The following is a 14,130-nucleotide window of genomic DNA, read 5'->3' as shown; positions in this document are numbered from 1 at the left end:
CTTTTTTTTTTTTTTTTTTTTTTTTTGAGACAAGGTCTTATTCTGTCACCCAGGCTGGAGTGCAGTGGCACAATCTCAGCTTACTGCAACTTCCATCTCCCAGGTTCAAGTGATCCTCCCACCTCAGCATCCTGAGTAGCTGGGACTACAGGCATGAGCCACCATGCTTAGCTAATTTTTTGATTTTTTGGTAGAGATGGCATCTCACTATGTTTCCCAGGCTGGTCTCGAACTCTTGGGCTCCGGCGATCCACCCACCTTGGCCTCCCAAAATGTCGGGATTACAGGCGTGCCAGCCACCAAAAAAGCGAGAGGATAGCCTGAGCTCAGGAGTTCAAGACCAGCCTGGGAAACATAGTGAGACGTCATCTCCATTATTTAAAAAAAAAAAATGTAGAATGCCTAGAACAGCACCTGGCAGAAAGTATGTTCCCCGTAAGCATAGCTATTACAATAATAGTGATTTTTTTTTTTTTTTTTTTTTGCTATAGGATCTTGTTCTGTTGTCTAGGCTGGAGTACAGTGGTGCAATCAATAGCTCACTGCAGTCTCAAACTCCAACACTCCAGCAATCCACCCTCCACAGCCTCCTGAGTACCTGGGACTACAGGTGCACACCACCACATCCAGCTAATTTTTAAATTTTTTCTTTGTAGAGAAGGGGTCTTGCTATGATGTCCAGGCTGGTCTTGAACTTCTGGCCTCCAAGGGATCCGCCTACCTCTGCCTCACGAGTCACTGTGCCTGGCCTAATAATGCTTGTTAATACCCCCACTCAACAGATGAGGAAACTGTCCCTTAGGCCTCAGTCCCTTAGGGAACTTGCAGGCTTATGGGTAGTGAGGCCCCGCTGGCCTGGGGTGGGTGGAGTCAGGGCCTCCCCAGGCCGGGTGTTGAGTGTGCGTGTGTGCCTTTGCGTGTGTAAGCACATTGGTGATTCCATTGTCCTCCTGACTGACTCTTACGACCAAGTCTCTTACGATTTGGTGATTCTCTGCGCAAACACTCAGACCCCATCCCACCCCTGTGGGTCGCCCAGCCGCTGCCCACAAGCCGCAGCCTCCCCGTCACACCCACACGTGCTTCCTCCTCACCCGCCAGGGCCTCCCCACAGGCTCTCCTTCCCAAACTTTCTCCTTCCTGCCCCACATGGACGCCTGTGGCTGGGTGGTCTCTGGCTGTAGCCACCCTGTCCCTGACTCAGGCCCCATGCCCCCTCACTGACCCCTGTGTGCCCGGCCCAACCCCCGCAGCCAGACGGCCACTCGGGGGTGTTGCGGGGGGTCACAGCAGGCCACGTGCCCGGGGTGGCTGAATTCCGCCTGTGATTCAGTCAGCTTGTCTAGGCTGCCGGGGGTGCCCTGGCCGGGTGATGTCAGCGGCCAGGTATGTGGCTGGGGTTTCTCCCAGGGTGACTCAGGCTCCTGAACTACCCTCTCCCTCCTGCAGACACTCTGGGCTGCTGTCCAGGGCAGGCAGCCGGCTGGCTGCCTGACACTCCCTTCCCTGGCCCCCTCCACGCCCTCTTCAGCACAGAGCTGTGGGAACAGCAGGGCTGGGGGACTGGCACAAGAGGGATCCCAGAGGCCAGGGCCCCAGCCCAGCCTTCCCCTAAGACCAGGACTCACAAGTGGTTGTAGGATGACATTCATTCGTTCATTCAATCAGCCATTCAAATATTTAATCAGCACACCTACACACACACACACACACACACACACACACACACACACACTGCAGTCACACACTCTAGGTGCTGGGGACAGAGCAGGAAACAAGACAGACAAAAATAAAAATTTCCTCAAATGGCCAGACATGGTGGCTCACTCCTGTAAACCCAGCACTTTGGGAAGCCAAGGCAGGAGGATTGCTTGAGCCCAGAAGTTTGAGACCAGCCTGGGCAACAGAGTGAGACCCCATCTCTACAAAAAAATAAGCCTGTAGCCCCAGCTACTCAGGAGGCTGAGGCAAGAGGATCACTTAAGCCCAGGAGGTCAAGGCTGCAGTGGGTTGTCATCATGCCACTGTGCTCCAGCCTGTATGACAGAGCCAGAGCCAGACCCTATCTAAAAAAAAAAAAAAAATTAGCTGGGCGTAGTGGTGGGCACCTGTTATCCCAGCCACTTGGGAGCCTGAGGCAGGAGAATCGCTTGAACCCGGGAGGCGGAGGTTGCAGTGAGCCGAGATCGTGCCACTGCACTCCAGCCAGGAAAGAGAGTGAGACTCTGTCTCAAAAAAAAAAGAAAAAAGAAAGAAAGAAAATTCCTCACAAAGCCTTTATCAGTATCTGCACCTAGTGCATTATTATTATTATTATTATTGTTTTTGACACAAAGTCTCACTCTGTCGCCCAGGCTGGAGTGCAGTGGCATGATCTCGGTTCACTGCAACCCACACCTCCCGGGTTCAAGTTATTCTCCTGCCTCAACCTCCCGAGTAGCTGGAATTACAGGCACACACCACCAAGCCTGGTTAATTTTTTTTGTATTTTTAGTAAAGACAGGGTTTTGCCATGCTGGCCAGGCTGGTCTCGAACTCCAGACCTCAGGTGATCCACCCTTCTCGGCCTCCCAAAGTGCTGGGATTACAGGTGTGAGCCACCGTGCCTGGCCTATTGTTATTGCTATTATTGCCCCCCTCCAAATTCCACTAGCCTGTGAAACTCAGGCTGGTTTCTCTTCCTCCAGGCAGCTCTCCAAACAGCTCATGTTTTTCTTTCTTTTTTTTTTTTTGAGAGGGAGTCTTGCTCTGTCACCAGGCTGGAGTGCAGTGGCGCAATTTCGGCTCACTGCAACCCCCGCCTCCCGAGTTCAAGTGATTCTCCTGCCTCTGCCTCCTGAGTATCTGGGACTACAGGCACGCGCCACCACGCCCACCTAATTTTTGTATTTTTAGTAGAGATGGGGTTTCACCAGGTTGACCAGGATGATCTTGATCTCTTGACCTTGCGATCTGCCTGCCTCGGCCTCCCAAAGTGCTGGGATTACAGGTGTAGGCCACCAGGCCCAGCAAAACAGTTCATTTCTTATAGTTCCCAGCCCCAAAATAGTCCTAGGAGGAAGTCCTTTCTGGAGTCTGACCCTCAGTCTGCCTGCTTCAAATGCGCTCTTTCATCCCTCTTTCACTTCCCACTTTCCCAGTCCCATGGAGTGATTTGAACCTCAATTCCATCCCGTCCCAACTTCACCCTTCATTTACCTTTCCTGAAACCAGACCACGGCTGGGCCTTGTAGCCATTGGGGTGTTCCAGATGCAGCTTCATTGAGTCCCAACTGGCCCTGGAGAAGGTCTGGAACATGCCCATGGTATAGGAAGGAAAGTGAGACTCAGGGCATTTGGGTACCCAGTAACACAGGACTACAGAGCTAAAGCCTGCATCTGCAACCCAGATTCTAGACACGCACACGCACATCCAAGGACACACACAGAGGAAGTAATAATACTGACAACAATCAAAACAGGTATTTTGTAAATGTTTGTTTTCTGCCAGGCATTTTCTAAATGCTTTCCATATGAACTCATTTACTCTCCCACAACAGTCCCATAAACTGGGTCTATTATTCTCCCTATTTGACAGATGAGGAAACCGAGTGCATAGAGGTCCTAATGCTAGCAGGAGGAAGGCCACACAGTTCGGCCGGACGCGGTGGCTCACGCCTGTAATCCCAGCACTTTGAGAGGCTGAGGCAGGTGGATCACTTGAGGTCAGGAGTTTGAGATCAGCCTGGCCAACATGGTGAAACCTCGTCTCTGCTAAAAATACACAAAAATTAGCTGGGCGTGGTGCAGGCACTTGTAATCCCAGCTACTTGGGAGGCTGAGGCAGGAGAATTCGGGAGGCAGAGGTTGCAGTGAGACGGAATCACACGTCTGCACTCCAGCCTGGGTGACAGAGTGAGACTCTGTCTCAAAAAAAAAAAAAAAAAAAAAGACAACAGAGTTCAAATCCATAGTTTTTAGGGGTTTTTTAAATTTTTGTTTTTGTTTTTTGTTTTTCTTTTGAGACAAAGTCTCACTCTGTTGTACAGGCTGGAGTACAGTGGTGTAATCACAGCTCACTGCAGCCTTGATCTCCTGGTCTCTGATGATCCTCCCACCACAGCCTGCCAAGTAGCTGGGATTCCAGGTGTGCACCACCATGCCCGGCTAATTTTCGTTTTGTTTTTATTGTTGTTGTTGTTGTTTGAGACGGAGTTTCACTCTTGTTGCCCAGGCTGGAGTGCAATGACGTGATCTTGGATCACTGCAACCTCTACCTCCCGGGTTTAAGCAATTCTTTAGCTTCAGCCTTCCAAGTGGCTGGGATTACAGGCACCCACCACCATGCCTGGCTTTTTTTTCTTTATTTTTAGTAGAGATGGGGTTTCACCATGTTGGCTAGGCTGGTCTCGAACTCCTGACCTCAGGTGATCCACCCTCCTTGGCCTCCCAAATTGCTGGGATTACAGGCATGAGCCACTGCGCCTGGCCTAATTTTTGTATTATGTGTAGAGACAGGGTCTCACCTTGTTGCCCAGGCTGGTCTTGAACTCCAGGTCTCAAGTGATCCTCCTGCCTTAGCCTCCCAAAATGCTGGGATTGCAGGTGTGAGCCAGTGCACCTGGCCTCCTACTCCACGTGGCCCTGATATGTGCCATGAGGCTCTGATATGTGCCCTGCACTGTGGGGGGTGCCAAAAATTAGAGCTACATGGCTACAGAGACCCTCCTGTGCTATGGCCCACGCAGCTTCTAGACACACACAGAAGACCCAGTACCACAAAATCACTTGCAGGGTTACATGGATGTGTGTGCTCGACATGGACATAAGAGTCATCGATTCATTTACCCAACAAGGAATTACTGAGCACCTTCTCTGTGCAGGGTGGTGCTGGGGACCTGGCAGTGACCACAACAGCCTTGGGTCCTGCCCTCACAGGGTGCACAGTCCAGTGGGGGAGATGGACAGTAAACAAAGGAACAAATATATAATTAGACATTGCAATGAATGCTGTGGAGGGAGCTCTGAAAAATAATCTGTACACAAACGCAGGTACCTGCATGGTTACACACAGAAATCCAGAAACACACATGGCTAGGCACGGTGGCTCATGCCTATAATCCTAGCACTGTGGTGGAAGGCCGAGGTGGGAGGATCACTTGGGGCCAGGAATTGGAGACCAGCCTGAGCAACACAGCAAGATCCTGTCTCTACAAAAAAAACCAGAAAATTAGCCGAGTGTAGTGGCGCTTGCCTGTAGTCCCCACTAGTCGGGAGGCTGAGACGGCGGGGATCGCTTGAGCCCAGGAGTTTAAGACTAGCCTGGGCAACACAGCCAGACCCCATCTCTAAAAAACAAACGAAAAAACCAGAAACACACACACACAGAACCAGAAATGCACGGCTAGAGGCAAAACCGTGCACATCCATGGGTACTTATACAGGCATTGTTTCACATAGATGACCACATGCAAGACTCACAACTGCACACACATTCATATCTACACAGTCAGCAGGGCTACACACTCCCATACACCCAGATACACAAGTGCAAACCACAGAAACCACTCACTGAGTCCTGCAGTTTTGCTCTCACACAGGAAATACCAGATGTGCACATTGTCACCGACTGTTGCTCACCTATAGTCACATCCATTCACACTGTCACACACTCAATTTCTTCTCTCTGCTCGGAGATTCGCCCCAGCCCTGGTCACATGAAGCTACTGGATGGGGGGGTGTTGGGAGTGTGTGTTGGGGATGAGTTGTTAGAACCTCCCAGCTGTGGACAGCTTCCCGGACACAGGATGGAAGGACCACGGGCTGCCTGTCTCTTGAAAGAGGCTCGAGAAAGACAGGCAAGAGAACCCCAAGGGAGCGGGGAAAGGAACGGGAGGGCTTTGGGGCTGTGGCTTGAGTGTGAACAGATTGTCTCCCCTTGTCTGTCTGTCTCCCCTGGTGGGGACCCCAACCGCAACAATGCACCCGGAAATCCGGCAGTCCAAGGCAGAAACGGCAGGCCAGCGAAGTGTGTGCTTGTCCCTATTTTGGTTGTGATGGTTTGGGGGGGATATGAGACAGCCACAGCGCGGGAGGCGCTGGACAGACGGACATGCCGGGGAGGAGGGGGCGCAGACGGACAGATACCCGAGCGGAGGCGGTCCCGGGGCAGACAGGAGGAGCGGGCGACAACAGACGGCGGCTGTCTAAAGGGAAACCGGTAATTTGGGAACCCGGTTCTCCCCCGCTTCCATCACCGCAATCCCCTCCACCCCCCGCCCCGGGCTCCCGGCGGGCCGGTCTGTCCGCCCGGGCCGGTCCTGGCTGCGCCCTGTGCGGCCGCGCCACCCAGCCCGGGACAAACAGCCCTCGCGTTGCTAGGCGACGGCGTTCCACAGTCCGTCGCGTCACCGCGTCTGCGCGGGCGTGGGGGGGGGGGGGGGGGGCGGGCGCACGGAGACGGCGGCCGCGTCGTTTGTTGACGTTGCCCGGCAACCGGCGCGGCGCTGCCGGGCAACGCCGGCCGACTGTTCATTCTCTCTCTCTTTTTTTTTTTTTTTTTGAGACGGAGTCTCGCTTTCGCTCTGTGGCCCAGGCTGGAGTGCAATGGCGCGATCTCGGCTCACTGCAACCTCTGCCTCCCGGGTTCAAGCGATTCTCCTGCCTCAGCCTCCACAGTAGTTGGGATTACAGGTGCGCACCATCACGACCAATTTTTGTATTTTTAGTAGAGACGGGGTTTCGCCATGTTAGTCAGTCTGGTCTCGAACTCCTGAACTCAGTTGATCCACCCGCCTAGGCCTCCCAAAGTGTTGGGATTACAGGCGTGAGCCACCGCGCCCGGCCTGGACTGTTCATTCTCTTAAAGGAGCAGGAGCATTTTACAGCGCCGACCTCGGCCGGCCGCGTGGCGGAACTGAGGCGTTAGAGGGAAAGAAGAGGGTTCCTTCCCTGGCTCATGAAGGTTTAGGGGATTGGAGGCTGGGTTAGCCTTCTTGAGGAAGAGAAAAGATATAAGGCGGGAGCTCTGGGTATTTCAACTAGAGTGTTTGGAGATGTTAGTGCAATATTGATTGCACGTGTGCATAGGCATGCTTGTGGACCTGTATGCATGGGAGTAGGTGATAGAGATACAGGGCTAGCAAGGACTGGGTTTAGTTACCCACTCCGGAACCTTGACCTGTGACTTCCTCTGAGCCTCCTTCCTTCCTGAAATGGAGGTGATAACATCACCCACCCCTAGAATTGTGACCATCAAATCCGGTAAAGCACTTAGTACATAATAAGTGCTCCGTATAAAATAGGTTTAATTATGTTATTTAATAACTGGATTCTGTCCCTAACTCGCTGGGCTTTTTTTGTTTTGTTTGAGATGGAGTTTTGCTCTTTTTGCCCAGGCTGGAGTGCAATGGCATGATCTCGGCTCACGGCAACCTTTGCCTCCCATGTTCAAGTGATTCTCCTGCCTCAGCCTCCCGAGTAGCTGGGATTACAGGCACCCGCCACCATGCTGGGCTAATTTTGTATTTTTAGTAGGGACGAGGTTTCACCATGTTGGCCAGGCTGGTCTTGAACTCCTGACCTCCAGTAATCCACTCACCTCGGCCTCCTAAAGTGCTGGGATTACAGGCGTGACCCACCGCGCCCGGCCATTTTGTTGGTTTTTTTTGAGACAAGGTCTCATTCTGTTGCCCAGGCTAGAGTGCAGTGGTATGATCACAGCTCACTGCAGCCTCACTTCCTGAGCTCAAGCAATCCTCCCGCCTCAGCCTACCAACTAGCTGGGACTATAGGCACTGGCTAATTTTTTAATTTTTAATTTTTATTATTTTTTGTTTTTAGAGACGGGGGTCTCATTATGTTGCCCAGGCTGGTCTCGAACTCCTCCTGGGCTCACCCAATCTTCCTGCCTTGGCCTCCCAAAGTGCTGGGGTTGCAGGCGTGAGCCACAGCGTCCAGCTCCTCACTGGGTTTTGGAATACATAAGACGGTGTTTGTAAAGTACTTACTGCAGCCCGGTGCACTCAATACACAGCAGTCGTTGTATTACTAGAGGTGTTTTTATTATTGTTTCCTCCACTCTGTAAAGGATCACGTGATAAGGCACTAGCAGATGTGGTTGGAATCCTTGCTGTGCTGAATCCTGGCTGTGTGACCCCAAGTAAGTGCCTTGCCTTCTCTAACCCTCTGCTTCCTCTTCAGTGAAATGCATGATCCCTTATCCTTCACAATCACTTCCAGGTAAAGGTCCTGGGCGAGGGGTCCCCTCTCACTGGGCATGTCAGGTCAGTGCCCCGTGTCTGCCGCATGACTCACAGGGCTACGTTATGTAAAGCTCCTTGATTCTGCACAGAGGGCAGGTTATATAAACGTATTTAATGTGCATCCTACATATCAAGCCTGGGGAGGAGACCTGGCTTGGTAAGGCTGAGATTGCTAAACCATGGCACTGGCTGTTTCTGGGAAGTAGGGCCTATTAAAGCATGGGCCAAGGAGACGGTATTGTCTCCTTCAAAAGAAAATACATCTCTCCTGGGGCGGGGTGGGGGGTCTTTCTAGGCCCCCAAATAGCTTTTTGTCTTTCTCAGCCTCTGATGTGTGTTTATCTCTCTCTGCATTTTTTTTAAATTAATAAAAACTTTTTTTTAAATAAAGATGGGGTCTTACTATGCTGTCCAGGCTGGTCTCAAACTCCTGGGCTCAAGAGATCCTCCCATCTCCGCCTCTCAAAGTGCTGGGATTACTGGCGTGAGCAACTGTGCCCAGCCTCTCTCTTCTTTTTTTCTGAACCCTATCTCTGATCTCTCTGTCTCTGTCTCATCATCTCTATGTATCTCTGTCACTTTCTGCTTTTATTCCCGTGAGTCCCTTTCTGGGTCTCTGTCTCTGTTTGTGATTTTCCTTTATTACTTAACTCTCCCTCAGGTTGTTTCCAAACATTCTTAGGAGAAATCTGAGTAGCACCAAGCCCCTCGCAGCTGACTGCTGTGTGATGTTGGGGTGAGCTGTCTGCTCTCTGGGCCTTGACTCTTCTCTGTCTGTAAAATCAGATGCAGTAACTAGTACAAGCAGGCAGGGGTCCCAGTCACTGGGGAGTATTTTAAAGGTGGGTTCCTCCAGTTCCACACCCACAAGCTGTGGGTCAGAATCTCAGAGAAAGACGACCGGGCGCGATGGCTTATGCCTGTAATCCCAACACTTTGGGAGGCCGAGGTGGGTGGATCACCTGAGGTTAGGAGTTTGAGACCAGCATGGCCAGCATGGCGAAACCCCGTCTCTACTAAAAATACAAAAATTAGCCAGGCTTGGTGGCATACACCTGTAGTCCCAGCTACTTGGGAGACTGAGGCAGGAGAATCACTTGAACCTGGGAGGCAGAGGTTGCAGTGAACTGAGATTGTGCCACTGCACTCCAGCCTGGGTGACAGAGCAAGATACTATCTCAAAAAAAAAAAAAAATCTCAGAGAAAGAAGCCCAGAGAATTATGCTATGTGAGTTACTCCCCAGGTGATTCTGAGCAACCAGCCAGAATTGCCGACCTGGGGCTGGACACACCTGTCCAGAGGCCAGGTTCTCATGGTACATAATAGGTGAGGTCCTATGGAAACACACAGCCAGGGACAAGAGTCATTCTGCGGCAGTTAGAGGATCCTGAGTGTGGAGGCGTGAGAGAGACAGAGCTGGGTCAGAGTGAGACAAAGGTCAGAGATAGAGACAAGAAAAGAAAACAGAGAGATACAGAGACATAAAGAGATAGACGCCCGGCACAGTGGTTCACGCCTGTAATCCCATCACTTTGGGAGGCGGAGGCAGGTGGACCACCTGAGGTCAGGAGTTCAAGACCAGCCTGACCGACATGGTGAAACCCTGTCTCTACTAAAAATACAAAATTAGCTGGGTGTGGTGGCACGTGCCTGTAGTTCCAGCTACTCAGGAGGCTGAGGCAGGAGAATCGCTTGAACCTGAAAGGGAGACGTTGCAGTGAGCCTAGATCCCGCCACTGTACTCCAGCCTGGATGACAAGAGCAAATCTCTGTCTCAAAAAAAAAAAAAAAAAAAAAAGAAGCAAATCTGTGTTTTCTGCACACTGCCTGAAAATGCATTCCCAGAGCAGAAGGCCACATTTCCGTGTGTATGCGTGACTGTGTTTCACATGTTGCTGCACGTAGTGCTGGGGTGTGCCAGGCCTAGGCCGTGATTGGATGTGGGAGCCAGATGCTGGGCTGGGAGGTTCTGGGTGGACCCTCTGTGCCTGTGCCAACCTGCCTCTAAGCAAGTGTCCTGGGCCAGCATTCTCCCCATCTGGCTCCTACTTTCTTTTCTTTTCTTTTTTTTTAGACAGAGTCTCACCCTGTCACCCAGGCTGGAGTGCAATGGCGCGTTCTTGGCTCACTGCAACCTCCACCTCCCGGGTTCAAATGATTCTCCTGCCTCAGCCTCCTGAGTAGCTGAGATTACAGGCGCCTGCCACTGCGCTCAGCTAATTTTTGTATTTTTAGTAGAGATGAGGTTTCACCATGTTGGTCAGGCTGGTCTCGAATTCCTGACCTCGTGATCTGCCCGCCTTGGCCTCCCAAAGTTCCGGGATTACAGTTGTGAGCCACCTCTCCCGGCCCAGCTCCTACTTTCTACACCGGCTCCATGTGACTGATGAGGACATGGCTCCGGGAGTCCTGGGGCCCACATGGATGAGTACAGGTTTAGATGTAAATCTAGGCACTGAGAGTGTTATGTTCGGGTGTGTGGGCTTGGGAATAGCCGTCCCAATAGAGGGGTACCATCTTTGGAGCTAGACTGAGCCGTGAGACCTTAGGCAAGTTAAGCGACCTCTTTGGGCCTCAGTTTGCACATCTGTAAAATAGGGATGTTAACTTTTATGGGGATGTGGTGAGTACCACCTAACATAATGGAAAGTGCTGCCATCTACTGATGGCTTGCTATGAATGTGCTTGTCAGCAAATTTTGCCTCTCTTAACTCAAAGGCCTCCAGAATCGATCCCTACTACCTCCTAGTCCAAGTCACCATTGGACTCAACTGGACCATGACAGTGACTGGTCTCCCTGACTCCACACTTGTCCTCCAAAGTCTATTCCCCACCTACAACCCAAAGGACCCTGTTAAAATAAAAAACAAGCCAGGCGCGGTGGCTCACGCCTGTAATCCCAACACTTTGGGAGGCTGAGGTGGGCAAATCACCTGAGGTCAGGAGTTCGAGACCAGCCTGGCCAACATTGGGTTGAGTGAAACCTCATCTCTATAAAAATGCAAAAAAAAAATTAGCCAGGCGTGGTGGCACGAGCCTGTAATCCTAGCTACTTGGGAGGCTGAGGCAGGAGAATCGCTTGAACCCAGGAGGCGGAGGTTGCAGTGAGCCGAGACCACGCCATTGCACTCCAGCTTGGGCAGCAAGAAAGAAACTCTGTCTCAAAATAAATAAATAAATAAATTAATTAACAAATAAGAAACAGTTCACATCCCTCTTTTGCTCAAAACCCTCCCATAGCTCCTGACCCACTCTGTAAAAGACTTCACCTCAGCCCATCGGGCCCTGCGGGATCAGCCCTTAGTCTCTCTGACCTCTTCTGCTCCAGTGCCCTCCCCACGTTCTCTCTGTCCACCCACACTAGCTGCCTCCGTGTTCCTCCAACACACCAGACATGTCTTCACCTTACACCCTTTGCACTTGCTTAGGCCACATATCTGCATGGCTTCTCCCAAACCAACTTCTAGTCTTTGCTCAAACATCACCTTCTCATTTAGGCCTTCCCTGACCATCCCATTTAAAATAGCAACCCCCAACCCCCTGTCTCTGCTTTTCCCAGCACTTACTACTTTCCAAAGTACTATATAATTTGCTTAATTTGCTCATTTGTTCATTTATTGTTGGTCATCCCCCTTCCAATTTCCAAAGAGTAAGCTTCCAGAACAGAGAGCTTTGTCTTGTTCAATACTGCATTCTCACAGTCTTTACCAGTGCCTGGCGTATAGTAGATGCTCAATAAATACCTGTTGATTGGGGCAGGTGCCGTGGCTCACACCTCTAATCCCAGCACTTTGGGTGGCCAAGGTGGGTGGATCACTTGAGGTCAGGAGTTCAGACCAGCCTGGCCAACATGGTGAAACCGTGTCTCTACTAAAAATACAAGAAATAGCTGGGCGTGGAGGCACAGGCTTGTAATCCTAGCTACCTGGGAGGCTGAGGCAGGAGAATTGCTTGAACTCAGGAGGCGGAGGTTGCAGTGAGCCCAGATGGTACCATTGCACTCCAGCCTGGGCCACAGAGCGAAACTCCTCTCAGACAACAATAACAACAACAACAAAAAATCGGTTGAATGAATGAATGATGAGTGTACATGCCAGGAATTGTGCTACAAGCTCTGGGTCTGCGAATTCACTGAATCGTCAGAACAGCCTGATTTGCTAAGCGCTGCGTATTAATGTCCCCATTTTACAAATACAGAAACAGAGTCAGAGAGGGGAAGTCCCTCGAACTGAGTGCAAAGGTCCTGAGGACTAAAGATGGATTATTCTGCCATCAGGGGCGTCCCTGCCGGCCTCGGTGTTGCCCGTGTGTAACTGCATTATTTCTGTGCTTATTTCTGGGCCCCGTCCTTGTTCGATCTGTCGCGTGGTCTTTCCTTATATCTCTGCGCCCCGACAGTTCCCTGTTGCTTCGGCCTCCACGCATGTCTCCGAATTTCTTGCTCCGGGGCCCTGATCTCTGTATCTCCTCTTTGCTGCGCCTCAGTCTCCGGGTTTCTGCGCCCTGAGGCCTCTGGGGGCCAAGGCCGAGGGTTTGGCGCGCAGGCCTGGGTGCTCCGTCCCGGCCCGGTGGCCTCCTGACCGCCCAGCCTCATCTGGCGGCCCTGGGGCGGGGCGGGGCCTGTTGCCTGGAGACCAGTGTTTTGCCGCAGCAAACTGGGTCTCTGGGCCACCGCGGGGGGGCGGCCTGGGAACCCGCGCCGGGCGTGGGAGCGCGCCCGGGAGGGGCGCGGGCCGGCCTTGGGCCTAGGGGCGGGGAGGGGCTCCGGGGTGGGGGGCGAAGCGGCTGGCTGGGGGAGGGGGGGAAATGGGGAACAGGATTTGGGGAGATGAGGTAGGGACATGGGGCAGTTCGAGGAGACAGGAGGGAACTGCGGGAGGCTGGGATTAGGAGGACAAGAGAGTGTATTGGGGTCAGTTGGAGGGAAGCGGGTGAGTCGGGGGCTAGGGAGGGCTGGGAGATATTGAGGAAAGCTTGGGGGAGCCCGGGGAGGGGATTGGGAGGGCCTGGGCAGGATAGTGGGGGTAGTTGAGGGGGTGGGAAGAGGGGCCCGGTATGGATGAGTGAAGGAAGGACCGGGGACACTGGAAGTTTAGGGGATTCGGGAATTACAAGCGATGAGTGTGAGGGCAGAGAGTTTCGGGGGGCGTTGGGAAGGTGTGAAAGGACGGGGTACGGGGTGTAGAGGAGAGAGGTTTGCCGGTTCGGAGAAAGAACCGAACTGCAGGGCCACAGGAGGGTAGAGTTGGGAGGAGATAGGATCCCCAGGGAGAAGGAGGCTAAACCGGGCCGGAAACAAGGGTGAATCAGAAGAGGGGGAGCCCCTGCCACTTCCAGGTTCCTGCGGGAGGGGCCCTCCTTGCCCATTGTCCCCGGCCCGGCCAGGACATCCGGCGACTTCCCTCGGGACGCGACGACGGGTTGTGTAACCCTGCCCGGCCCGCCTGCTCCCGGGGGCGGGGCCTGAGTCTGGACTCCCGGGTTCCTCTCCGCCCCCATCCCAAGGGAGACGCCTGGGTCGGGATCCTGGGGGAGCGGCTCGTGACGTCACAAGTGGGCGGAGTCCACCAACGGCGCGAACCCGTTTTCTTACTCACTGGCGATCTGGGATCTGGGACCCAAGGTGGGGAGGGGTGTTCTTAGCGATCCCCTTGGTTGAAGCAGCCCAATGACCGCGAGGGTAAACTGAGTCCCAGACGGTGCTGACCCTTTTCATTCGATTCATTCATTCAGTAAGATGTATGGAGCGCCGGCTGTGTCCCAGTTACTGCCTTAGGTGATGGGGACACAGCAGTGACTGATCCTTGCAGCCCCTGGGCGGACCCCATCCCAAACTGAGTGTGACTGACTACAGCCATACCTCCTTGGAGCCTGGCCTCCTTCACT

At 52.7% G+C, this 14,130-nt stretch overlaps 1 protein-coding gene across 4 annotated transcripts in view, besides 8 other annotated features; it reads left to right on the top strand.

The window, feature by feature from the left end:
- Positions 532-1,498: an enhancer, noted in NCBI's record as "H3K27ac-H3K4me1 hESC enhancer chr19:45959073-45960039 (GRCh37/hg19 assembly coordinates)". NCBI's record gives its function as "activates a minimal SCP1, AML or CMV promoter by ChIP-STARR-seq in naive H9 embryonic stem cells {active_cell/tissue: H9 hESC(naive)}" and the evidence as "EXISTENCE:reporter gene assay evidence [ECO:0000049][PMID:30033119]".
- Positions 1,487-1,736: an enhancer, noted in NCBI's record as "active region_14798". NCBI's record gives its function as "activates an Ori minimal core promoter by ATAC-STARR-seq in GM12878 lymphoblastoid cells {active_cell/tissue: GM12878}" and the evidence as "EXISTENCE:reporter gene assay evidence [ECO:0000049][PMID:35858748]".
- Positions 1,487-2,465: a biological region, named in NCBI's record as "H3K27ac-H3K4me1 hESC enhancer GRCh37_chr19:45958106-45959072".
- Positions 1,499-2,465: an enhancer, noted in NCBI's record as "H3K27ac-H3K4me1 hESC enhancer chr19:45958106-45959072 (GRCh37/hg19 assembly coordinates)". NCBI's record gives its function as "activates a minimal SCP1, AML or CMV promoter by ChIP-STARR-seq in naive H9 embryonic stem cells {active_cell/tissue: H9 hESC(naive)}" and the evidence as "EXISTENCE:reporter gene assay evidence [ECO:0000049][PMID:30033119]".
- Positions 2,773-2,832: an enhancer, noted in NCBI's record as "active region_14797". NCBI's record gives its function as "activates an Ori minimal core promoter by ATAC-STARR-seq in GM12878 lymphoblastoid cells {active_cell/tissue: GM12878}" and the evidence as "EXISTENCE:reporter gene assay evidence [ECO:0000049][PMID:35858748]".
- The window catches only part of ERCC1 (ERCC excision repair 1, endonuclease non-catalytic subunit), a 44,214-nt gene continuing 35,849 nt past the window's right edge, over positions 5,766-14,130 (top strand). For 2 of the 4 annotated variants that reach the window (NM_001369417.1, NM_001369414.1), the window contains exons 1-2: positions 6,547-6,672; positions 8,069-8,140. The gene's annotated coding sequence lies outside the window, so the exon portion shown is untranslated. Of the gene's footprint in view, positions 5,838-6,546; positions 6,673-8,068; positions 8,141-14,130 lie in introns of those variants that run through there. The other 2 variants (NM_001369413.1, NM_001369412.1) reach the window with 2 other exon arrangements.
- Positions 6,115-6,164: a silencer, noted in NCBI's record as "silent region_10770". NCBI's record gives its function as "represses an Ori minimal core promoter by ATAC-STARR-seq in GM12878 lymphoblastoid cells {active_cell/tissue: GM12878}" and the evidence as "EXISTENCE:reporter gene assay evidence [ECO:0000049][PMID:35858748]".
- Positions 6,325-6,454: a silencer, noted in NCBI's record as "silent region_10769". NCBI's record gives its function as "represses an Ori minimal core promoter by ATAC-STARR-seq in GM12878 lymphoblastoid cells {active_cell/tissue: GM12878}" and the evidence as "EXISTENCE:reporter gene assay evidence [ECO:0000049][PMID:35858748]".
- Positions 12,844-13,043: a silencer, noted in NCBI's record as "silent region_10768". NCBI's record gives its function as "represses an Ori minimal core promoter by ATAC-STARR-seq in GM12878 lymphoblastoid cells {active_cell/tissue: GM12878}" and the evidence as "EXISTENCE:reporter gene assay evidence [ECO:0000049][PMID:35858748]".

This window comes from Homo sapiens, chromosome 19 (genome assembly GCF_000001405.40).
Source record: "Homo sapiens chromosome 19, GRCh38.p14 Primary Assembly".
Classification (NCBI taxonomy): domain Eukaryota; kingdom Metazoa; phylum Chordata; class Mammalia; order Primates; family Hominidae; genus Homo; species Homo sapiens.
The sequence above is the reverse complement of the archived record's forward strand: the minus strand, read 5'-3'. Positions and strand labels throughout refer to the sequence as shown.